At 39.0% G+C, this 26,062-nt stretch overlaps 1 protein-coding gene across 2 annotated transcripts in view, besides 1 other annotated feature; it reads right to left on the bottom strand.

The window, feature by feature from the left end:
• The window catches only part of GUCY2C (guanylate cyclase 2C), an 83,968-nt gene that overhangs the window by 23,486 nt on the left and 34,420 nt on the right, over positions 1–26,062 (bottom strand). For both annotated transcript variants that reach the window (XM_011520631.3, NM_004963.4), the window contains exons 11-19: positions 24,864–24,945; positions 20,395–20,500; positions 16,835–16,897; positions 15,842–15,913; positions 15,290–15,394; positions 9,112–9,198; positions 7,457–7,589; positions 4,965–5,102; positions 3,745–3,833 (exon numbers count right to left, since the gene is read on the bottom strand). In XM_011520631.3, coding sequence (XP_011518933.1) covers positions 3,745–3,833; positions 4,965–5,102; positions 7,457–7,589; positions 9,112–9,198; positions 15,290–15,394; positions 15,842–15,913; positions 16,835–16,897; positions 20,395–20,500; positions 24,864–24,945 — 875 coding nt within the window. The remainder of the gene's footprint in view (positions 1–3,744; positions 3,834–4,964; positions 5,103–7,456; positions 7,590–9,111; positions 9,199–15,289; positions 15,395–15,841; positions 15,914–16,834; positions 16,898–20,394; positions 20,501–24,863; positions 24,946–26,062) is intronic.
• Positions 8,203–8,282: an enhancer, noted in NCBI's record as "active region_6050". NCBI's record gives its function as "activates an Ori minimal core promoter by ATAC-STARR-seq in GM12878 lymphoblastoid cells {active_cell/tissue: GM12878}" and the evidence as "EXISTENCE:reporter gene assay evidence [ECO:0000049][PMID:35858748]".

Here is a 26,062-nt window from a genome sequence, read left to right on the forward strand (position 1 = left end):
TCATACCAAAACCAGACAAGGATACAACAAAAAAGGAAAACTATGGGTCAATATCCCTGAGGAACATAGATGCAAAAATCCTCCAAGAAAAAAAATACTAGCAAACTGAATCTAACAGTACATCAAAAAGATAATACGCCATGATCAAGTGGGATTTATCCCCAGGAAGCAAGGATGATTTAACATATGCAAATCAATAAACATGATACATTACGTCAACAGAATGAAGAACAAAAGCCATATGATCATCTCAATCGATGCAGAAAAAGCATTTGATAATATTCAACATCTCTTCTTGATAAAAACTCTCAAAAAACTAGCCATAGAAGGAATATATCTCAACATAATAAAGGCCAGCCATATATCACACACCCACAAAATAATAAAAGCCATATACTACAAACCTGCCAATATCACACAGAATGAGGAAAAGCTGAAAGCTTTCCCTCTAAGAACTGGAACTAGACAAGGATGCCCAATTTCACCTCTCCTATTCAACATAGTACTGAAAGTACTAGCCAGAGCAATTAGGCAAGAAAAATAAAAGGCATCCAAATTGGAAAACAGGGAGTCAAATTGTCCCTCTTTGCAGATGATATGATCTTACGTCTAGAAAACCTAAAGCTTCACCAAAAAGCTCTTAGATATGATAAATTCAGTACAGTTGAAGGATATAAAATTAACATACAGGCTGGGTGCGGTGACTCACACCTGTAATCCTAGCACTTTGGGAGGCCAAGGACGGTGGATTGCCTGAGCTCAGGAGTTCGAGACAAGCCTGGGCAACATGGTGAAACCCCGTCTCTACTAAAATATAAAAAAAAAATTAGCTGGGCTTGGTGGCAGCTGCCTGTAATCCCTGCTACTTGGGAGGCTGAGGCAGGAGAATTGCTTGAACCTGGGAGGCGGAGGTTGCAGTGAGCCGAGATCACTCCACTGCACTCCAGCCTGGGCAACACAGTGAGACTCTGTCTCAAAAAAAAATTAACATACAAAAATCGGTAGTGTTTTTATATACCACCAATAATAAACTCAGCAGGAAAGAAATCAAGAAGACAATCCCATTTACAATAGCTACCAAAAAAAAAAAAAAACCACCTAGGAATATATTTAACAAAGAAGGTAAAAGACCTCTATAAGGAAAACTACAAACACTGATGAAAATGAAGAGGACAAAAACAAATGGAATGATATCCCATGCTCATGGATTGGAAGAGTTAATATCACTAAAATGATTATACTGCCCAAAGCAATCTATAGATTCAATGTAATCCTATCAAAATACCACTGTCATTTTCCCACAGAAATGGAAAAAACAATCCTAAAATCCATACGAAACCAAAAAAGAGCCCAAATAGCCAAAGCAATCCCAAGCAAAAAGAACAAAGCTGGAGGCATAACATTACCTGATTTCAAAATGTTCTATAAAGTTGCAGTAACCAAAACAACCTGTTACTGGCACAGGAACAGACACATAAACAAATGGAACAGAATAGAGAACCCAGAAATAAATCCACACACTTACAGACAACTGATTTTCAACAACGGCTCCAAGAACATACAATGGGGAAAGGACACCCCATCTCTTCCCATATACAAAAATCAACTCAAGATAGATTTAAGACTTAAACAGAGGACCTGAAACTATGAAACTATTAGAAGAAAACATAGAGAAAAGACTTTAGGACATTGGTTTAGGCAAAGATTTTATGGCTAAGACCTCAAAAGCACAGGCAACCAAACCAAAAATAGACAAATGGGACTATATTAGACTAAAAGGCTTCTGCACAGCAAGGGAAACAACAGAGTGAAGAGACAACCTGTTGAATGGGAGAAAGTATTTGCAAACTATTAATCTGACAAGGATGATATTCCAGAATATACAAGGAGCTCAAACAACTCAGCAATTAAAAAAATTCCATTAAAAAGTGGGCAAAACTCATGAATAAACATTTCTCAAAAGAAGATTTATAAATGGCTAACAGGAATATGAAAAAATGCTCAACATAACTAATCATCAGGGAAATGCAAGTCAAAACCACAATGAGCTATCATCTTACCCCAGTTAGAATGGCTATTACTAAAAAGCCAAATAATAACAGATGCTGGCAAGGATGCAGAGAAAAGGGAACCCTTACACACTGTTGATGGGAATGTAAATTAGTATAGCCACTATGGAAAATAGGATAGAGATTTCTCAAGACACTAAAAATAGAACTACCATATGATCCACCAATCCCCCTGCTGAGTATTTATCCAAAGGAAGAGAAATCAGTGTATCAAAGGATGCCTGCACACTTACATTTATTGCAACACTATTCACAATAGCAAAGATACAGAATCAACTTAAATGTCCATCAGTGGATGAATGGAAAAATAAAATGCAGGATGTGTACACAATAGAATACCATTTAGCCATAAAAATAATGAAATCATGTCATTTGCAGCAACACATATGGAACTGGAGGTCACTATGTAAAGTGAAAGGCACAGAAAGACAAATATCACATGTTCTCACTCATGCAGGGGCTGAAAAAGTTGATCTCATGGAGGTGGAGAGAATAATGATAGCCAGAGACTGGGAAGGGTGTAGGTAGGGCAGGGGATGAATGAAGAGAGGTAGGTTAATGGGTACAAACATACAGTTAGAAGGAATAAGTTATAATGTTTGATAGCAGAGTAGGGTGACTACAGTTAACAACAATGTATTGTACATTTCAAAGCAGCTAGAAGAGAGGACTTGAAATGTTCCCAACACATAGAAATGATAACTACTTAAGGTGATGGATCCCCTAAATACATGACTTGATCATTACACATTCTGCGCATATGACAAAATATCACATATACCCCACAAATATGTACAAATATCAATTTAAAAATAGAGAATGAGGCCAGGCGCGGTGGCTTACACCTATTATGTAATCCCAGCGCTTTGGGAGGCCAAGGCAGGTGGGATCGCTTGAGGTCAGGAGATCGAGACCAGCCTGGCCAACATGGTGAAACCCCATCTCTACTAAAAATACAAAAATTAGCTGGGTGTGGTGGCAGGCGCCTGTAGTCCCAGCTACTCAGGAGGCCGAGGCAGGAGAATTGCTTGAAGACGGGAGGCCGGAGTTGCAGTGAGCCAAGATCCTGCCACTGCACTCTAGTGACAGAGTGACAGAGCAAGACTCCGTCTCAAAAAAAAAAAAAAAAAAAAAATAGAGAATGAGATGTGTGCTTTAGAAGCCAGCTCATTCCTGAGTTGGGGAGTGGTGGAAAGGCACGGAGAATGCGGTAGGCTGAGGCTGGCTCCCAAAGACATGCTGCGTCCTAATACCTGGAACCTATGAATGCTACCTTATTTGGAAAAAGAGCCTTTGCAGATATAATTAAGTTACAATTCTTGAGATGAGGTGATTATTCTGTATTTTCTGGGTGGACCCAAATGCAATCACATATGTCCTAATAGAAAGGTGACAGAGGGAGAATAGACAGAAGAGAAACTGTGATCAAGAGGCAGAGATTGAATTGTGTGGCCATAAGATAAGAAATGTCAACAGCCATCAGAAGCTTCTGGAAGAAGTAAGGAATGGATTAGCCCCTTAGCTCTTCTGGAGGAAGTGTGGCCTTGCTGAACACTTGATTTCAGACTTCTAGTCTCCAGAACCGTAAGTGAATAAATTTTTGTTGTTTTAATCCATTACATTTATGGTAATTTTATAGCAGGCCAAGGAAATGAATACGGGAAGATATACTCACTTCTAGCTCTTTTTCCTCTGCTGTTTCCAAGAATAAATCTGGGCGGAAGGGTTTCATTCCATTGGAATTTTCCACTCTGAAAATCTTCTCTGGTTGGGTGAGAAAAATATAAATTACAAAGAAGAATACAGCATGAAGAAATGGAAGGAATTTCAACAGAAATCCAGTTGATTCACTCCCCTGGATGGCTCTTAGCTCAGTGAGAGTGCTGCAGAGCCTAGACCAGCACTCAGTAGACAGGTGTTGATTCAATGAGGCACCCAGTGAAAGGGTCTCATCCCACTTATAACCAGAAGGTTACCTTAAGGATAGGCTACCAGGTGGGGCACAGTGCCTCAAAGCTGTAATCCCAGCACTTCGGGAGGCTGAGGTTGGGGGATCACTCGAGCTCAGGAGCTCAGTCTGGGCAACATGGTGAAACCCCGTCTCTACATAAAGTACAAAAATTAGCCAGGTGTGGTGGTGTGCACCTGTCGTCCCAGCTACTTGGAAGGCTGAGCCATGAGGATTGCTTCAGCCCGGGAGGCAGAGGTTGCAATGAGCCAAGATCACACCACTGTACTTACTCCAGCCTGGGGGTGACAGAGCAAGACACTGTCTCAAAAAAAAAAAAAAAAAGAAAGAAAAGAAAAGAAAAAAAGAAAAAATGCTACTGTCGCTGTAAAACTCAGCTCAGGCACCACTGCCTTCAGTAGGCTTCTTCTGTCCATACTTTGACCCACCCTCTCCACGTCCCTTAGTCACCCTACTCCCCACCAAACAGTTAACGGTTAGCACGTAATAAATGCTCAGTAAGTGAGGATTGAATGAATGGAATGAAGCATTTTCCCTTGAGAGGACGTGTGGCCAAAAACTATACATCTACCCTTAGTAAGAACTAAAATATGTATGTCATCCTGTTAGAGTGATCTAGTTTAGATGTTAAGCAGGTACATTCTCTTATTGGAATCAAAAGGAAAGAGGACAATTGTAAACGAAGATTGTTAACAATGATACTGACAATAATAACACCTGGCAGTGTATGTTGTCTTATGCTTTTCAGTGCACCCTAATATTGAATCTTCCTTATATTCTTATAAAATGCATAATGCAGATGGGAAATCATTAATTTTGCATTTGAAGGAATTGTGATGTGGTTACAGACAGATTAGGGTCTCAGTAAGCCTAGAAAGCAGGTTGGCTCACTCCCAGAGGGGACACATGAATGGGTTTAGATGTACCATTCCGGTCCCGACAGCTCAAAGTGTAGAAGGTTTCTTTCCGCAGGATGATCTCCTGTGCGATGATCCCATAGCTGTACACATCTCCTTTCTGAGAGATGTTGGCTTGGCGGAGGTGCTCTGGAGCTGTCCACAGGTCTGTAAATGTAGACATTGAGATTACAAAGTTGAGGGGGGTGAGTGGTTCATAGGCCTCCAACCTGCTTTTGCTCTCTAATTCCCTACACCATCCACTCTAAATATGGGTGATAGCTTATAAGTGGCCTTGAATTGATATGATTCCAAATTTTTGAAAAATTTTTGCTAATCCTGGTGATCAAAGGTAGAACACACACCTTTTAGACTAACTATGAAATGTTAGGATTTGGGTGAGGTCATATGGCAATATGTTATTTAAAACTGCTAGGATCATAGTCTTGAAAACTCTCAAAGTTTACCTGGAATGGGGTCTGATTGTGGTAAATGCTCAGTAAATATATGTTGAATGAATACAGTAGAATATGAGAGGCTGAGGAATTTAGTAGTTTATGGGACATATGGAATGAACCTATGAAAGCCTTCAAAATACAAATTTTGGCCAGGCGTAGTGGCTTACGCTGGTAATCCCAGTACTTTGGGAGGCCAAGGCAGGTGGATCACAAGGTCAGGAGATTGAGACCAGCCTGGCCAATATGGTGAAACCCTGTCTCTACTAAAAATACAAAAATTAGCCAGGCGTGGTGGTGGGTGCCTGTAGTCCCAGCTTCTCAGGAGGCTGAGGCAGGAGAATTGCTTGAACCTGGGAGGTGGAGGTTGCAGTGAGACGAGATCACACCACTGCACTCCAGCCTGGGTGACAGAGCGAGACTCCATCTCAAAAAAAAAAATACAAATTTTATGTGTACTAAATTTATTTTATTTAAATTATTATAATTTATTAGTTAATGTGTATATGCATATTTAAATATAAATTTACCAAAAGAAGATAAAGACAGTACATTAAGACAAAGAGACTATGGCTGATATTTTCAAGGCATAACATACTGGCAGCCTGCAACTCAGCTAGGGTCCACAGTGGTGTTTTTGCTGGTTCCCACAGTATTCTTAAAAAAGTATCGCATGTAATTTACTCACAGTTTACTCCTGTCCCTGCCACTCCCTAGTGCTTACATCTAGTTCACTCACTTCACATGAGTGCAATGCTGTATTTAGCTCCTATAGATACTCGAGTTTTGAATCCTTATTACACACCTTATTTAGTAATAACGGGCATGCAATTAATTTTTCTTCAACATGCTTCGTAAGTTTTTCAGGATCACCTAGCTCCTTATAAACTTTTTAAGACTTACCTTCACCAGTTTCAATGAAACATGTATAGTTTCATGTTGTTAGGTGCAATAATATGTTTATGATGATGCACACTTTCCTTATTTGGTTCTCTGTCCAAATGTACATCACCTTTTTGAATTTGTGTCTTGTGAATTTTTGTGAATTGTGATTCATGCATAGTTGATCATAAAGGTTAGGGGTTGTAGAAAAGGTAAGTAAATCTACTTATGCTAAAATTTTAGGTAACTGATGCCATAGGTAGGTAGGTATAAGCGAGTGCTGTTTAAGATGATAGGATTTGACCTGTAATTTATCTGATTTGTGTCATGCTAGGTTATCTGATGACGATTTGTACTACTATGTCATGAACCAGGCTTGGCACAGGTCTTCAATAAGAAATTATTAGATTGAGTTCAATATCATATTATGCTTGAAATGGCTGTGGATGTAGGGACAGAATCGCAATTTTCCTTTTATTAAGGAAAAACGAAAGGATTGCAAAGTTGAATTAGAAATATAATTTGGTGTTTGGATCTAGGTAGTATTTTAAGGCAACATGAGTTCTAGATATCTGAGTCTGTTTAACTGTGAGTCATAGTCAAGAAAGGGTAAATGTTCAACACGAAAAGCCCTTTATACTTTACAAATCCGTTTTCTTTATGTTATCTTTTTTGACTCTCACCACAATCCTGAAAGAGGTAAGAATATATTTTACTGGTTAGAGTTTTTTCCTTAACATTTCTTATTACCACACATAAATGAATGATGTCTTGAATGGGAAATGGGTCTTCTGGTTTGTACTCTACCTTCTTGGACAAATCTGAGTCTCAGTGCTGTCCTCTATAAAGGAAAAAGCTTAAATTAGACGATGTCTAAGGTCTCTTCCTGCTCTAACCTTCTATATTTTTTTCAGCTAGTTCTGCTCCCACAAGCCATTAAGTTATTCATGATTTCTCAGTGTAGCAAGGGACGCATGGATGAAGGAAATCCACAGAGGACATTTGTTTAACTCAGGAAATACTCGTTGACTGACAAGTGTGAAGTTCTGGAGAATGAGCCAGCTGTTGTCTCTTGTGGCTTTAAGTGCTTATCTTCTGATCAGTATTACAATTTCCTGACCACGCTACATGGGTTTGAAAAAAAAATCAGTTAGGAAACTAGTGAACATTTCATTCATTACAGACCCTTTTTTGGAGGTAAAATGGAATTGCAGCCAAAATCAGTGATCTTCACCACCATTCTACTGTCCACTACGCAGTTGGTAGATTTCAGACGACCATGGACTTCTGTCTTACTGGAGTGCAGATATGACATTCCCTGTAATTTTTTAGATGATAGAAAAACAGAAATGTGACACACTTCAGCTGCTTGATTATTTTAAAGAAAAAAGTGACATTTGGAAACCATTTCAGCAGATGGTCACACCATCAGATTTTAATTTTAGTCCCACTATTTTTACCTTAACAATATTACTGAAGCCCTAATATTTGCCTACACTTTATATCTAGTTTCAAAGTCTGTTTAAATGACAGAGTAAAAGGGAATTGTCTAAAATATCTGCTTAAGTAGTTGTGTATAATATGAGGCAAAGGGTTGATTTTTTTTAAGTGTTTCTGCTTACCACTTATTTGGTCTGTGACCCTGGGTAGGTCTCTGGTCCTGTTTTACATGAATTTAAAATAAAAATATGAATAATAGTGCCTTGCTTTTCCAAAGGGGCAGGGTGCCAGGCTAGATTATTTCCTAAAGTGGAAGTGGTTTCATCCTATTTTGAAGCAATGTTTCATTCATTCTGTTTCAAAAGGGGAAGCCTGGCCCCCGTGATGGCTCATGCCTGTAATCCCAGCACTTTGGGAGGCCGAGCTACTCAGGAAGCTGAGGCAGGATAATCGCTTGAATTTGGAAGGCCGAGGTTGCAGTGAGCTGAGATCGCGCCACTGTACTCCAGCCTGGGTGACACAGTGAGACTCCGTCTCAAAAAATAAAAAAATAAAAAAAGAGGAAGCCTGTTTTTGGCTGATGTGCTTCTCTCTTGTGGTTAGAGGGTGTCTCAGCTGAAGCTGATTTTCAGCCTGGATCACAGGAGTGACGTGTGTGGCAAATCGATTTTCATAACACATTTTTCAAACTGATTCTGAACCCATATAACTTTCAGGTGAGTTAAGACTGTATCAAACAGCTCCCTCTCACAACCAACTTGTCTTCATTCTTGAATGAGGCCCTGGTTACTGGTGTCCACTCTGTTTTCCTATCACGTCTCAAAATATGCATGTCCACATTTATTATTGATTCCTGCAAGATGGTTTCCTGTACTTAAGATTTTCTCTTGTAAAGTTGAGGATTCAGTTGTCTTTTTTTTTTTTTTTTTTTTTAATGGAGTCTCACTCTGTCACCCAGGCTGGAGTGCAATGGCTCAATCTCGGCTCACAGCAACCTCCATCTCGTGGGTTCAAGCAATTCTCCTGCCTCAGCCTCCGAAAGTGCTGGGATTACAGGCTTGAGCCACTGCGCCCAGCCCAGTTGTCTTTCTTGTAGTTTTATATGATTTTGATTTCTGGAAAATCTGTGAAACTGCATGCCTCACACCCAGACTACAAAGAATATAATAAAATAATAATAACTGATAGATATATATTGAACATGTACTTGTACCTGGTCTTGTTATAAGCACGTGCATTATTTCACAAAATCCTCATAACCTAAAATCCTACAACCCTATGACATAGCTATTATTATCATTTTACAGATGAAGAAACCAATGCACAGAAGGTTGAATAACTTGTTAGATCTGTTTTCTTATATTTAATTTTCATATTTTCTGTGTGTGTGTTTCTCTTACCTTAGCAATGTCATACAAGACAGAGATCTTAAACTCCCAATCCATGAATGTGCCATCAGGGTAGGAAATTGTGTCATTTAAAACTTCCTGAATAGGAAAAAAGAAGAAGAAGAAAAGTTGTTGCAAGAAAGGATATTGTGGAGAGACTATTATGAAACAAATAATGATCTTCAAATTATGAAACCTTAGGATCAGGAACAAATTGGAATTCCATTGTCTGGGATTTCATGAACCTGTGTTTTTTCCTTTTCTGCATAAGAAGCATTGGGTGGTTTTTGCCACCTGGATATGAGCAGGAGGTACCCATAGCATCCCAAATTTCAGTTCTTCCATCAGACAGGTGTAGAGGAATAAGCAGCAGGCGGGGAGACTGCTTAACAAGTGACTGCCCTGCATGTTCTGTCTCATCTAAATTGGACCCATGTTTTAAAACAGGCAATTGCTATAAGAAAATTCCTTCATTAGGCTTGTGTTTTTACTCACATAATCAGTTATATAAATTAGCTTAATTGCTCTTTTTTTTTTGAGTTTACTAAGTCCTCTGTCAATAAGAGAGATCTTGGATTTTTTTGTGAATTGTATGACCTGGAATTTTCTTTGTTTTTTTTTGTTTTGTTTTGTTTTTGAGACAGAATCTTGCTCTGTTGCCCAGGCTGGCATGCAGTGGCACAATCTCAGCTCATTGCAACCTGTGCCTCCGGGGTTCCAGCCATTCTCCTGCCTCAGCCTGCTGAGTAGCTGGGATTACAGGCGCATGCCACTATGCCCAGCTAACTTTTGTATTTTTACTAGAGACGGGGTTTCGCTACGTTGGCCAGGCTGATCTCGAACTCCTGGCCTCAAGCAATCTGCCCGCCTCAGCCTCCCAAAGTGCTGGGATTACAGGCACAAGCCACCGCGCCCCGCCTATATCTGGAATTTTCAAGTCACTATTTTAATATGATGATGGTTCTACCAAGTTGCAGGATTTTAATTAAGCTAATACATAACTGTTCTTCACGGTAGAACTCTAAACAGGACTCTAACTGATAACAATAGTTTCTTATTTTAGGAAAAAGCCCAGTTTGATTTTTAGTTTTAACTCAGGCACTGTACTAAGAATTTCCAAGGAGGGGTCTAAAGTCCTTAATCATTTCAGATAAGGCTGGTTGGGCTGTGGGTACCAGGCCAAGTTGACAGAGGGGAGTTATGGGCAGACAGACTAATTCTTTTCTATGCCTTCTCTCCCTTTAGCGCACCATTCACCCATCCTACCCTGTTCTCATCTGCCAAATTGTAAAAAGCATATTATTCTGTTTTGATGATAAAAGGAATACAAGTTTACTATAAAAAATGTGAAAAAATTGCACAATATAAAAAAGAAGAATATAAAATTATTGCTAATTGCACCATCTAATTTATTCTCATTCTGGTATTTTCTTTTAGTCTTCTTTAATGTAGATATGGAAAGTATATGTAATAAATATTATAAAAGTGGGATCATAATGTATATGCAGATTTATATGTTTTTTTCTGAGCAATTTTAATAGGTGACCTGCATATTTATTCTTTAAAATTATTGAGTCTTATCTCTAGAGCAGGGACTGTGTTAGTGCTGGGATTATAAGGGACCTGTTATAGGGTGCACAGTCTGGTGAAGGAAACTGACACTCATAAAATAATCAGACAAATAAACATAAGATTATAACTGTGATAAGTACGAAGAAAAATTGCCTACAATCTGGGGATTTGACCCCTAAAATCTGGGGTTTGTTATGAAGATTAAAGATGGCTTCCTTCAGGAAATGGCTGTTGAGCTGAGATCAAATGAAGGGAGGCAAGAGTTTTGGGAAGAGGGAACAGCATGGGAAAAGAACCTTTTGTGGAAGAGAGAATGAAAAGGTCCTATTATCTGAGCACCATTTTTAAAATTACCCTTCTTTAGTCATATTTGTCATATACTTAATGGTATTCTTAGCCCATGTGTTTTTCTTCCATAAATCATCTGCTTGTTCATGAGCTGTCACTACACCGCCTTGATTATAATAACTTTCTGACAAGTGGCCTCTTCATTCTCTTTTTCAAAACTGTTTTAGTTATTATTGCTCATATATATATGTGTGTATGTATATGTTTTTCCTGATGATCTCTGTTAATTAAGCAAAGTCTTTGCCTTTGATTGCAAGTTTGTGGTTTTCAGAAGAATTTATACATTTTCAATGTGAATTTGTCGGTATAGGGTGTCGGTAAATCGGCTCTCTGTTAGCAACAGCCCTGATTTATAATATGCTTGCTGAGTACGATGTGAAATATTTCCACCCTGAATGATTTCAGCTTCCAAAAGTTTAACACTGACTGGCTGGCAAATTCTTGAATAACTTAACAATCAGCTCTGAGCTAGTACCAGCCAGTTCCAGCACATCATTGATTCCTATCTAAGAACTTGACTAAGTTCTGTTAAGATTTATTTAATGTCTTAGAAAACTTTCAGTGTTCTTAACTGATTCTTTGCATTTCACGTTGAGTATTTTCAAATAAATATTTTTGTTAAAAATATTAAGGAGGATTTTTTGAGTTGTATTTTCTGACCAATTTGGCTAATATATATGATATATACATTATATATGTAAATTATTTTCTATACACTTATTTTGTTTCTAGTCATCATACAAATTTCTTATAATTTTTAGTATTTGAGGCTTTTGCATTTTCTAGGAAAACAATCATATCATCTTTTTACTTATTTATTTATTTATTTATTTATTTATTTTGAGATGAAGACTCGCATTGTTGCCCGGGCTGAAGTGCAATGGCGGGATCTCAGCTCATTGCAACCTCCACCTCCCGGGTTCAAGCAATTCTCCCACCTCAGCCTCCCAAGTAGCTGGGATTACAGGTGCCCGCCATCATGCCCGGCTAATTTTTTGTATTTTTATTAGAGACGGGGTTTCACTATGTTGGCCAGGCTGGTCTCGAACTCCTGACCTCGTGTCCCACCCGCCTCTGCCTCCCAAAGTGATGGGATTACAGGCATGAGCCACCGCACCTAGCCTCATCTTTAAATTAAAAAAAAAAAAAAATCTATTCCTTTTGTGAAAGTTGTCAAAATCAGAATGGAGTCACAAATGTTGAAAAAATCCTGACACATACAGCCAGAAAAGGCCATGAAAAAGAGGGTTGTCATGCTTGTATCCTTCCTTCATTACAAAAACTATCAGAAAAGACTCTACAGAAACCTCAACCTTCCACAAAGGCCATCACAACCTCACACACAAAAAGTACTTATACAAGGACATCTGCCCAACAACTGCCTGTCCAACCTCTGACTGGCATCATCCTTGCTACTGATCTTTGTAACACAACAATTATGTAATCCTCTTTGTTTTTTTTCCCCTTAAAATCCTTTGTCTTCCTTTATCTCTCTGAATGTGCACATAATTTACGATGGCATATGTATTCCCATTACAATGTTCTTTTCCGAATAAATATCTTTCTTTCAGAGAGCCACTCTCTATTTGTTATTTATGTTGATACCTTCCAATAACTGTATATCTTATTTCTGTTTCACGCATTAGTGCTTTGGTTAGAACTTTCAGAAGTTAACTAATAGTAGTACAGGGGTGGGACTAGGGAGTCTTTGCATTAATACAGATGAAGTCAGTTGTTATTTTATGATAGACAGTCTTTGCAATGTTAAGGAAGTATTGTTTTATTTTTAACTCTACAAGAGTTGTTATTATGGGGGAGCCTAGGAATATTTCTGAAATGAGGTCTGAGACTTCTCTGACATATCACCCTTTAATTGCTGTTTTCCTTGTTGAGAACAGGTTGCAAATACTAAACCTGGTTTCCTCTTCCCTGAGCTATGGTTTCACAGCTTCATTTCATGTGGGTCTTACTCTAATGTCATCTTGCCAGAGAAGTCTTCCATGGCTATCATATCTTAAGTAGCATGACTCAGGTATGTTTGAAAGGGGGTTACTATAAATAACAAAAGAGCTTTTCTCACCCCCACCACCCAGTAAAAACAGGTGTTTTAGGAGCCAAGAATGAAGACAAAATATATTTCTTACTATATCATAATATTACATTAGTAACAATAGAAGAAATTATAATTCCCATAGAAAGAATACCAGATTCAGCTTAATTCTTCTAACGTTGAAGTTTAGTAACAGTAGTTCTCATTATCTATATAAAAACTATTTTAAACTTAAACAAAAACATGAACATACTCCAAATTCATTTAACATTGAACAAAGTCAGCATAGGATTGAAACTAAAATCTATAGTTGTGAATATAGATGAAGAAACGTACTAAAATACTAGAAATGCTAAGCCAGTTGTATACACAAAAAGCATAACACAAATAATTGGATATGGTTAATTCTATGAATGGAACAATATTATTATAATGTACCAAATCAAAAGGTCATAGGAGAAAAACCACATGAGCATTTTAATGGATGATTAAAGTGATCATTTTAATTGATACTGATAAAATAAATACAAATTTCTAGGAATAATAATAACTATTTCAGGTCTTTCAAAATTAGAAACGTTTTTCACATGAGGTCTAGACCTCATTTAATTTCAATGAGACAGAAATTTTAGAATACCAATTAATAGAGCCTAGTCAAAGGGTTTCACATGGCTTATTATTCCCTGAAACTGATTCAGAATTGGCCTAATTAAATATTTATTTTTTTGAAACAGATTTCATGATTATATTGCTTCTGAAACTTTCCCTTTTTAAAGATTACAATTTAATAGTCATGAAGTATTCTTTCACAATTAAAACATCTTTTCACTGCTTTTTTATTCCCAATTTCGTGTATTTGCATGTTTGTTTTAAAAATAATAACTAGAAGTGAAAGGCTTGTATGCTTTAATAATTTTGTTTTTTAAGTAGCAAGTGCATTTTAAAATTCTATCCTATTTTATTTGATTTAAAATGATTGATATTTAATAGTTTCCTTTCCTTATGTTATAGTTATTCTTCTAAAGTTTGCATTAGATACTTCAATTGTTTATTATTATTATTATTCATTTATTTATTTTTGAGACGGAGTCTCGCTCTGTTGCCAGGTTGGAGTGCAGTGGCGTGATCTCGGCTCACTGCAACCTCTGACTCCCTGGTTCAAAGGATTCTCCTGCCTCAGCCTCCCAAGTAGCTGGAATTACAGGCATGCACCACCATGCCCAGCTAATTTTTGTAATTTTAGTAGAGATGGGGTTTCACCGTGTTGGCCAAGATGGTCTCGATCTCCTGACCTCATGATCCGCCTGCCTCGGCCTCCTAAAGTGCTGGCATTACAGGCGTGAGCCACCGTGCCCAGCCTTGTTTATTATTTTTTAAGAACTTTTACCTTAGCACCATTTTCCTCTGTGATCTTAATTCTCCTGGCCAGCCCCCTGCTCAAGATTTCTCTACCACATTCCATTACATTAGTCCCTCACGGGCTTGCTTTCCCTTCTGCAATACAGCAAATGAATTCTCAAAGTGTTAAATATAGTTAATGGCTTAATGTGTCACTTTTTCCTTGTACCACTGTTGAATTTCATAGGGATTAATCCAAAGAAAGAGCCCTCAGATGTTAGAATAACAAGCATGAAATAACTTTTAAAAGAGATAGTAACATATAGGGCTATGTTTTTTTCTTGGAGGGTAGATTTGAGTTTATACCGCATAGTATGAAAGCTAATATTCTTGCTTTTTTTCTTAGTTCCTCTGTTTGCTTTGGACTTGCTCAGTCCAAATACCTGACCTCATCTGGCAACTCCCAGATGATCCTCAGTCCAAGAGTGGAGTAATAATTTGGACAGCAGCAGAACCAAGAATGATGACCAAGTCTTCTAATGCTTATTTGGCGCTATCATAATGATTATCCATTTCTCTTTTAATACAAAAGCAAGTATTCATGGAAAATAAAATGTATTTGGAGGTAATCACTCATTTTTCCACTTCCATTCTCTGTTTACTCCCCTCCCCAAATCTATTATCTTTTTCCTGAAATTTTTTTTGCTTGTTTATAAAAACATAATAAGACTGAAAAAATCTCGGGGATCTAGTTTGGAAAGCATGTGACCCCACCAACTTTCCCTGATTTTCTCTAATATTATTTTACTCGGTAAATATTTTAAAAGGCCTGCTGAATATTTTTATATGATTAGAAAATTGGAAATGACCATGGTTTCTTACCCGGAGGGATCCTCTCTCACAGTATTCTATCACCCCGAAGATCATGGTATCAAGTTTCACTGTGCCGTAGAACTTGGTCAGGTTGTAATAGTCAATCTGAAGCAACTAGAAGAACGTGTTTGTTTACAAAGCAAATTAGGCAGAATGGGGTGCCAAAGTAAAAATTAATATGCCAATAAAATGTGTTTTGTTTCAGATCTTTGAGAAGATGTGTTGTCTTAACAAATTGAATGTCAGTACCCATTGCTTATCACACATTATATCAATCTCATTCAACAAACTTTCCTTTGTCAGTAAGAGGCCTTGAATATAAACTTTACTTTCAAATAATATCAGGTCCACTTTCCAGGAAAGACTAGTAGATTTCCAGAATTTTTTACACCGTCAACCTCACTTTCCAATATCTCTTGGTAGAATTTTCAACAAGAAATATAGTCACCATTTCTTGGCCTGAGGGCTTTTCTGTCAGCCTCTTACTCCACCAGCAACCTCAGTGATTAGAGGAAATGAAGTGAAGTTATTTCTCAAGGGTTTGAAGTAAGGGCTACATACCTTGTTCAATTCTATCTTCTGTTTTTCAGTGAAATTACCATCATTGTGCTTGAGATCTTTGAGAATCACTCGCTGCAAAAATCAATGAAATTTAGGAGACAGTGTTGTGGTGTAACTCTTTACATGCATATTATAACAGTTTGTTTGTGTGTCTCACTAGACTATAAACTTTTGAGAGCAGTGACAGTATTTGATTGATTTTTTATATTTATTTATTTATTTATTTATTTTTTAAAGACAGAGCCTTGCTCTGTTGCCCAGGCTGGAGTGCAGTGGTGCAATCTCAGCTCACTTCAATCTCTGCCTCCTGGGTTCAAGCAATTCTCCTGCCTCAGCCTCCCCAGTAGCTGGGACTACAGGCATGCACCACCATGCCCGGCTAATTTTTGTATTTTTAGGAGAAACGGGGTTTTGCCATGTTGGCCGGCCTGGTCTCAAACTTCTGGCCTCAAATGATCCACCCGCCTCAGCCTCCCAAAGTCCTGGGATTACAGACATGAGCCATTGTGCCCAGCCTTGACTGATGTTTATATCCCTGGTGCCTAGTACCTGGCATATGGTAAGTTCAGTCTCGAATGTTTCTTTAAGAATGACTAAATGGAAGGAAGGCAGGCAGAAGGGAGGGAGGGAAGAAAGAAGGATGGAAATAAGATGCAAAGCTCTCATATGAGATCGTTGTATTTCTCAGCAATGAGCCAAAATATAATACTAGGGTTGCCCTGGACTACTCTGAATATCTTTGATATTTAATTTTTCTTCCTACACTCCACCCTTCCCCAACATTCTATTTGTCTTCCATTTTCCCCAGGATTGTGAGTTTTGTAACCCTTGAAGCAGGGCCCTGCCCATCCCTGTGAAGCTCTAAGAATAGCCCCTAGGAACAGACTGGGGACTCCCACCATTGTGATACTGACATCAGGGGCCAGGGCAATGAGGGGTCAAAAGGCCCAGAGCATACCCCAGTGGAGAGTTCAGAGAAGTGGGAGAGGTCACCTTTTTGTCGTATTTGCACTGTCGTAGTCTCTGGATTGTATCTCGTCTTTTGTCATCATCGATCTGGCACAAGAAAAGGCTAATTATTCCAGAAGCTCCATATCTCATCCTACTCACTGCCTGTCAAAGGCTGAGAGGCTCTTCCAGGTGGGCTGCATCTGTTTCCTCAATAACATGCTGGGCAAGCAGGCTTCCAGAAAAACTGTTGTAATTGACTTGCTCCCTCTCACTAATTGGACTCCAGCAACGTGTTTCCAGGTATCTACTGCGCTCATGCTTAGCTATGGGTTTCCTCCCTTCCTCTTGTGGCCCTACTTCAACCAGGGATTTCCTTTGCTCCCTTCACCCCAACCCTGTTTTTGTGGGAATTATTGCCTGTAGCTACAGATAGATGCTCTTGGGGAAGGATGCTGTACATTTGAGTTGCACACTCATGCCTAAAGGCCCAAGTAGCAATGCAAATGATAAAACTGGGCCAGGTGTCTAAGGGAAGCAGTACTGTCAGCTCTGGGTTCAGCCCGAAGTTGCTAAATCATCTTATTTATCAAAAGGAGCTGGTAATAAGAATTCTTATATGCTATCTCGTGACATTTGTATGTTGGCAATTAATTTTTAAAATGTCAAATATTGAACAAAACACACGCACACACATAGGCACTCACAACTGCAGGCCACATATGGCTCTTGGCCTTCCAGTTAATGACTTCTGGTCCAAAGACAGAGAAAAGGTTGGGAACAATTGCATCTTTTGATGTGATTCTCATAAAAACCTGAGATGTGTTATTATCTTTGTTAAAATGTACCTTACAAGGCCATTTTGAAATGCGAGTGAAATGACTCTCTGAAGGTCCAAGCATGATGCCTGGCACATTGCAGACTAACAAATGTCAGTTATCATCATTTCATTTTCTTCTCATTTAACAAATTAAGTATAGAAGGGTTAAATAACATTAAATGTCACATAAAAAGAGAATGGCAGAACCTAGGCTTGTCTTCTTGCCTAATGCTCTTTTTATTATTTCAGACCTTGATGACATCATTTAAACTATTTGGACCTCAGTTCCTTACTGCACAATTCCAACTCATAGAAATAGCTGGGGGTTAAATGAGACAAGGTTTGTGAAATTCTCTTGCTAGCTAAAATACTTCTCTTTTTACCCTCAAATGAATGATCATCTTGATTATTTTTTTCTGTGTTACTCTATCCCTTTGACTTGCCTGATTTCTTTTGTCTGGAATCTTTGGTCTGATATTCTGACCCTTCCTGTTCTAGCAGTGGGATGTTTGACTCTCTATTATCTCATCTCTTAGTCTTGCTTCCTTATTTCTGCATTCAGTGAGTATCCAAACTTGAACCACTACCTGTCTGGTTGTAGGTATTTTCCACCCTTGCTGACTTCGGGTGACCTTGGGTTTTCTCCATGTCTACCTGACTCTTAGCACCTGATGAGCTCTCTGTACAGCCAATTTCTGATCCACCTGCTTCCCAGCCTGTCTAAAACTCAGAGTAACAATGATCACATGATCAAAATAATTTTGAACTTCCCTCCTTTGAGTTTACTGTCCCAAAGACCTATTTCCTTGGTCAGGTGACTCATTCATTCCGATGAACTAATCTGTACTCATAAAAATTTTGTAAAGAAACTGACAAGAAATGGATGAATTATACTTCTAGGAATATTTATATTTTAAGAAAACATACGGTGACACATGTTTTGGGCTTACTCCAAAAGAGAAAATATGAAATATGGGGTTTTGAGGCAGTGGGGAGGTGCTTGAGGAATGACACCAAGGCTGGACTTGTGCAGAGGTGGAGCGTGTGGGAGCCCATCTGGGAGAAGATGAGAGACAGAGGTGCACACGCTCCTTCTGAAAGTCCCCTCTCCTCTTCCTAGTGTTATATTAAATAAGCAGGAGACCATTGGCATGAGGCTGTCTTTGTATTATGAGTTCCTATAAACTGCAACCTAACTTAGTATACAGACAAACTGAAAACTAATTTAGGAGTCTATTTTTGTAACAAATGGCTGGGTTTCAGCCAATCACAGGAAGCTAACTGAACAGACCATGCCCAAATAAAGCAAATGCCTAGCTGTAACCAATCAAGTTATTTGTGTACTTTACTTCCTTGTACAACCTATGAAAGCTCACTGCCCATGCTGCAGAGTGGAGCTTTCTGAACCTCTTTTGGTTTTGAGTGCTTCACAATTCATGAATCACTTTTTGCTCAAATAAATTCTATTTTGTCTGTCCAGTGTTTTTCTTTTAACACTAGGTACTTCCAGTTTGTCATTTAGGTCAACAAATTCTCTCTTTGGAAATTCAGTAGCCTTAAGGTCATTTACACCTGACTGTGAATTACTGTTAAATTGATTTCATCCTGACACTTAGCTGAGACAGATTGGTCTTTGTGAATAGAATTTTTCTGTTGAGGTTCAGAATGCACCAGGAGGGTCACATTGGAGCATGTCATATTTCTGAAAGAAGGGAAGACCTGGTCTTTGGATAGACATGAGGGGATTGGAGCCATTAGAGGGCAGCACACAGGACTTGGGGAGGAGGGTCAAGAGCTGGTAGAGAGGTTCCAGAGACAAACTTAAGCCAAATGCAATTTTATTCCTGCTGATTTTAAGCAAGGAAGCATCTCAAATCACACTACACTATCAGTTTGGCCCTACTCTGAAGGAGTCCACGAATTCCCATCTGTGGAGGTCTTGGGTCTCCATATTCTCTTAATACGCTTTGGTATAAAAACTAGGATAATTATATGGTGTATGGAAGGTGTTACAATCTCTGGCTTTACAGTTAGACAGACTGGGTTTAAATTGTAGCTGTGTTCCTGGAATTTCCACCCTGCTACTTCACAGTGCTCAGGAGAAGATGAAATGGGTTAATGCATGTGGTGCATTATAAGTGCTCAGTAAGTGTTAGCTATTATTACTTATAGTTATCTTACTCATTAGTTGTATGTGTCCCTGCACTGTTTCTTAATCTTTTGTCCTTCAGTTTCCTCATCAGCAAAATTATGATAATAAAGCTTAATTTTGGGTTCCTGTGAGGAATAGATGAGACAGCATAGGTCCTGCATTGACTGTGGTAAATGGAGTAAGTTATTATTGGCTGCTGCTATTTCCTGGTTGAAGGTAAATGTGAGCAAATATAAGCAGAGGCCTCTTTCTTCAGGAATGAGTAAGACAAGTCATAGGCCCTTAGTATGGATAGATTAGCATCCAAGGTTTAGGGGAACTCAAATGCTCTGCCCATTCCTACATCCCTTCCATGGCAAATTCCCAATATGTGTATTTCTATTCTGGATAAGATGCAAAGAACGAGAACACACCATATCTCAGCCTCCAGGGAAGTGCTCATTGGATTAACTAGTTGACATGTAGGAGAATGGAGAATCAAGGGGAAGGGAGAGAGCTGAAAATTAGAAAGCATCTAAGTCTTGCTTTCTAGAACAACTATCCCTACTTGGCACATATCCTGCAATGCTACTTAAGTCTTGTCAAATACCTGCCAAATTGAACCCATTCTTCAACAGGTAAGGTAGGCTTTACCTTGAGGCTAACATGATTGGTCTCATTGGTCTCCAGAGGAAAGATATTTTCAGGAGGAATGTGGGACCATTTTTTCTGACGAAGTTCATAATCTTTTCTATATTTTCTGTGAAAGGAATAAAACTGGTCAATAGGTTTTTATTAATATCCATGTCATTCAGCTTCTGAAGACTGGGTGAAGTTTAGAACCCTGGTATGCTCAGGTAGATATGTGTGAGGGAAGGTAGCCCAATGACAGAACACCATGTCCTCCAAACTGAAAAGCGCTTACTGCCAGTGGACCTGCAAGGATTTCTGATGGGCTTTTATAGCGGTGGCCCTCAACGTTTTTGACACCACGGACTGGTTTCCTGGAAGACAATGTTTCCATGGAGGTGGCAGGGAGTGGTTTCAGGATGAAACTGTTCCACCTCAGATCAGGCATTAGATTCTCATAAGGAGTGTGCAACATAGATCCCCTGCATGCGCAGTTCACAGTAGGGTTCACGCTCCTATGACAATCTAATGCCCTGACTGATCCGACAGCAGGGGGAGCTCAGGCGGTACCGCTCGCTCACCCGCTGCTCACCTCCTGCTGTGCGGTTGGTTCCTAACAGGCCATGGACTGGGGTTTGGGGACCCCTGTTTCCTAGTCTTTCTTTTCTTTTCACTTCACTTTCCTAGGTTTTTCACTAAGGCAGTCCTTCACAATACTAAAGGATTTAAACTGATGACATAGAAGGAGTGAGGAAAAAATACAGGAAAAAAATGTAAAGTTGGTGACATTGAGAGGCAAAAATGTTAATTTTTAATCCAGAGAGAATACACCAGATCCCTAAATAAGCCAGTTCCTCTTACCCATCTGTGCCTTTTCAAAAAATATGTTTAAAGAAAATGGAAAAGTACAGAGAAAATGTAACAACACCTATCTCAACTACAAAATGTTAAAAATGTATAGTTTCCTTCAGATAGTATCGGTCCCCAGATAGTGTAGGTTGGGGATTAGGCCCCCAACCCCTGGGCCATGGACTGGTACTGGTCCGTAGCCTGTTAGGAACCAAGCTGCACAGCAGGAGGTGAGAGGTCAGTATTACCACCTGAGCTCCACCTCCTGTCACATCAGTGGTGGCGTTAGATTCTCACAGGACCGCGAACCCTATTGAGAACTGCACATGTGAGGGATCCAGGTTGTGCACTCCTTATCCTTATGAGAATCTAACTAATGCCTGATGATCTGAGGTGGAACAGTTTCATCTCAAAACTCTCCCCACCCCCAAAAATTGTTTTCCATGAAACCAGTCCCTGGTGTCAAAAGGTCGGGGACTGCTGGTATAGATGAAGCAGAATTCTTGGGCTATAGACGATGTACACTTTCGACTTTGCAGATATCACCAAATTGCTTCCCAAAGCAGTAGTTATCAATTAATTTACCTTCTTATCTTGAGAATTCCCATTTTCTATATTCTTGTCAACATTTGGTATTGATAAACTTTTTTTTAACCTTTATGATGAAGGTGAAACAGTGTTTCATTATTGCATTACTTTGCATTTTCTTGATTACAAGTGATATTATCCTTTCAAATATTTTCTAGCTATTTAATAGAGTATATAGACTCAGAATTATATAGAATTATGTATTTATAATTTTGCTCATTTTTTCCTAGTGTGTATATTTTTCTTATCCTTGTTAACTTACATAAGTTCTTAATATATTTTGAGAAATAAATCCTTTGTCCCTTTAGTTTTCAAATACCTTTTCCTAGTTTATGACTTCCTTTAACTTTGTTTTACAGAAAGTTTTGATTTTATTATCGTCATATTTATGTATTTTTTCTTTGACTTTTCCTTTTTTATCTTGACTGAGAACTACTTTCCTAAACTGAGATCATAAAGTCATTTTTATTGGACAGGCACAGTGGCTCACACCTATAATCCCAGTACATTGGGAGGCCAAGGTGGGTGGATCACTAGAGGTCAGGAGTTGAGACCAGGCTGGCCAACGTGGCGAAACCCTATCTCTACTAAAAATACAAAAGTTAGCCAGGTGTGGTGGTACACGCCTGTAATTGTACCTACTAGTGAGGCCAAGGCACGAGAATTGCTTGAACCCAGGAGGTGGAGGTTGCAGTGAGCCAAGATGGCGCCACTGCACTCCAGCCTGAGTGACAGAGTGAGACTCGGTCTCAAAAAAATAAAAATAATTTTAAAAAGTCATTTTTATTAATTTATTCTAAGTTTTGAAGCTTGATTTTCACATAATCAAACATTTAAAACATTTAAAACTCCACATAAACTATGCATTAACATTTAAAACTCCACAGAGTAAACTATGTCTTTGTGTATTATTTTAGATATATAATAATAATAAAATACAACATAATACAATATAATAATAAAAATAACTATTTTCATTTATATAATGCTTAGTATATGGTAGTTTGTGTGCATGTTCCATTTCTAATCCCTACAACAGCTCAGATGAAGAAATTGAAGCTAAGTTACCTGTTTTAATTTTGTTTTTTACATGTGGAAAGCCTACCTTACCAACATCATTTCTTTCTTTTTTTTTTTTTGAGACGGAGTCTTGCTCTGTTGCCCAGGCTGGAGTGCAGTGGTGCGATCTCTGCTCACTGCAACCTCCGCCTCCCGGGTTCAAGATCTTCCTGCCTCAGCCTCCTGAGTAGCTGGGATTACAGGCACCTGCCACCATGCCCAGCTAATTTTTTGTATTTTTAGTAGAGATGGAGTTTCACCATGTTGGCCAGGCTGGTCTTGAACTCCTGACCTCATGATTCAGCCACCTCGGCCTTCCAAAGTGCTGGGATTACAGGTGTGAGCCACTGTGTTCGGCCACCAACATTATTTCTTAGCTGTCACATACTGTCATCTTTGTCATATTATAAGTTCTTGCTTGTATCTGATTCTGGAACTGATATTCTTTTCTATTGACCTGTTTTGTCCCTGTTTGCCTTTGCTTTTTGGTTATTTGACAAACTCATTCTCACCTTCTCAAGGCCATGCCTTCCTTAATGTCCCCTAAGCAGAAATGATTATTCTCTTTGTATGCTTCCATCTAAGTCTGAGTATTCTTCAAGTAAATGCATGTAAAATAGCATATTACTGACCCTAAGACCTGGAGGCAAGTAGGATGAATATCAAGACCTTAAAGGCTCTTGGGTTCTCAGCTCTGTACCCCAGGAGACTCTTGGGACCCAGCAGAGCCAACTGTCATTCATACTGAATTAGGGGATTTCTTAAATGGTTTGCTAGTTTTCTTGCATAGGCTGTTGTAATGGCAAACTGCATGTGTACCACCTGTCTGCCAGGCCCCCTCATGGGCATAGCATTGCACTGGTCATTAGGAAGCCCCATCTCTGCCTGCCATGTTTAGAGACAATGAGAAACACCTGTTATTATCTTTGATCTTGTGATTTACCCTATCTTAAAGTGATTCCCATTTAGATTTGCTTTTGGGGGAAAATTTTGGTTTCTTCTCACTCTTCACTAAATGGTCACCACACATTGTAGACCATCACCTGTATTTCTGAGCAACACAGTTACAGGAGCCAAGCGGTGTTGTCAGATTGAAGAAAATAGTCTACTTCCTTTTCTGGAGAAAACATCAACCAGTATATGGCAGGCTGGACATTCACATGAGAAAGTATAATGACACACAGACCAAAGTGTGTAATACACAGATAAAACTGTTGTCTTGTTTAGCTAGGAAGTGCAAGTGAACCTGGTAATATAATACAGTATTATAAGTTTGGCATTTAACATATGCAGATTAGGATGTAGTGTGGTATTTACTCACTCATTTATGTATTCAATAAATATTTCTTAGTACACACAATGTCTCTGGCTAGGCATTTGGCAGACCCAAGTTGAGCAGAAAAATCATGGAACTGATGGTGAGAAGGCTTGAGTTCTAGTTCTGGCCCCACCCACTACCTGGTGATAAGACTCTAGAGAAGCCATTTGACTTTCTGGGTTCTCTTTCCTCAGGCTAAAATAGGAGATTTGGAATAAATTGTTTCTAAAACCTCTCCCAGTCTAAATATGTAATTTAATGAGTTTGATGTCTCCCACAATATAACAGCATAATAAAAATAACTATTTTATCTATATATGCTTATTATATGGTAGTTTGTATACATGTTCCATTTCTAATCCTTACAACAGCTCAGATGAAGAAACTGAAGCTAAGTTACCTGTTTAAGTTGCTAAGTAACACGCTTAAGACCACAGAACTAGTAACTCAAAGAACTGGGATTTGAGTTCAGGCATCTTTGGCTTCAAAGCCCTAATCTATTCACTCAATAATATTCTGCCCTTCAGTTAGTCTTTGATGCAGAATGTCTTCATTATCTTAGGTCAGTCTGCAGGCTTCTTTGTGAATATTCATCATCATCAACAGACAACAGACCTCTCCCACTTTCCCTTCCTGCCTCTCTGGATACCGAACACAGGCATGATAGAGGCGGCTGTACCTGAGCATCAGGAGAGCGACGAGCAGGAGCAGCACCACAGCTCCAGTGAGGGTGAAGACTGCAATCATCAGGATCTGAGGGCCTGTGGCGGAAAATGCGTTAGGAAGGACCTTAGACAAGAGAGCAAAAGCATTTCCAAGATTCTAGCTGTACAATGTAATTTGGGGAAGGGAAAAGAGAACCCTTTAAAAAAATTTATTTTTTATTAATTTCTCTCTGGTAATATAAGTCCTGTGTCCCTACTCTCTGACAGCCTTGTCTGGCATTGTACCCAGGGAAAGTGGCTTAATTTTGGCTATTCTGACAGCATATACATCTCTATTCTTTCTAATAAGAATCACCAAATGTTACACAAACATAAAATAGTTTAGAGCACGTACAAAAAAGTTGGTGGTAGAAGTCTACCTGGTGTCCTTGAAACCAATATACCTAAGAAGGGTTCATAGAGGATGAGACATGTATTTTTTTTTCTTTTTGAGACAGAGTTTCACTCTGTCATCCAGGCTGGAGTGCAGTGGCGCAGTCTTGGCTCACTGCAACCTCTGCCTCCCTGGTTCAAGTGATTCTCCTGCTTTAGCCTCCCGAGAAGCTGGGATTACAGGTGTGCGCCACCATGCCCGGATAATTTTTGTATTTTTTGTAGAAATGGGGTTTCGCCATGTTGCTGGCCATGAACTCCCGGCCTCAAGCGATCCGCCAACCTCAGTCTCCCAAAGTGCTGGGATTACAGGCATGAGCCACCATACCCAACTAAGACAACTTGTTTTTAAATACAGAGCACATGCCGGAAGAAAAGTAAGTCAGTATAGAATATTAAGTGACAGTGTTGCATGCTGGTTCTTTCCAAGCTCTCCTGGGTTAGTGAGGGAAGTCAATGAAGAATGGGATTTTATTTACTAGAACACTAGTGGGTGGGTGGAGTTGTATAGATGGAGTAAGTGGAAAGACTCTCAGAAGAGTAAGTGGAATCCAGGAAAATGTGGATCCAACCCAAGGAAGCACTGAAGCAGTGTCTGAGTATACAAAGGAATACTCCTACACAGAGAAGGACAGCAACAAGAAGACTGCACGGGAAAGTCGTGGTTCATATATGCCGCAATGAATTCCCTATTAGGAAGTCAGTAGGTTCAAGAAGAAAAAATGGAATAGATTCCAAGCAATAGACAGAATGTGTAAGAAGCTGGGAAGTGATAGGAGTA

The sequence above is a fragment of the Homo sapiens genome, chromosome 12 (genome assembly GCF_000001405.40).
Source record: "Homo sapiens chromosome 12, GRCh38.p14 Primary Assembly".
NCBI classification, from domain to species: domain Eukaryota; kingdom Metazoa; phylum Chordata; class Mammalia; order Primates; family Hominidae; genus Homo; species Homo sapiens.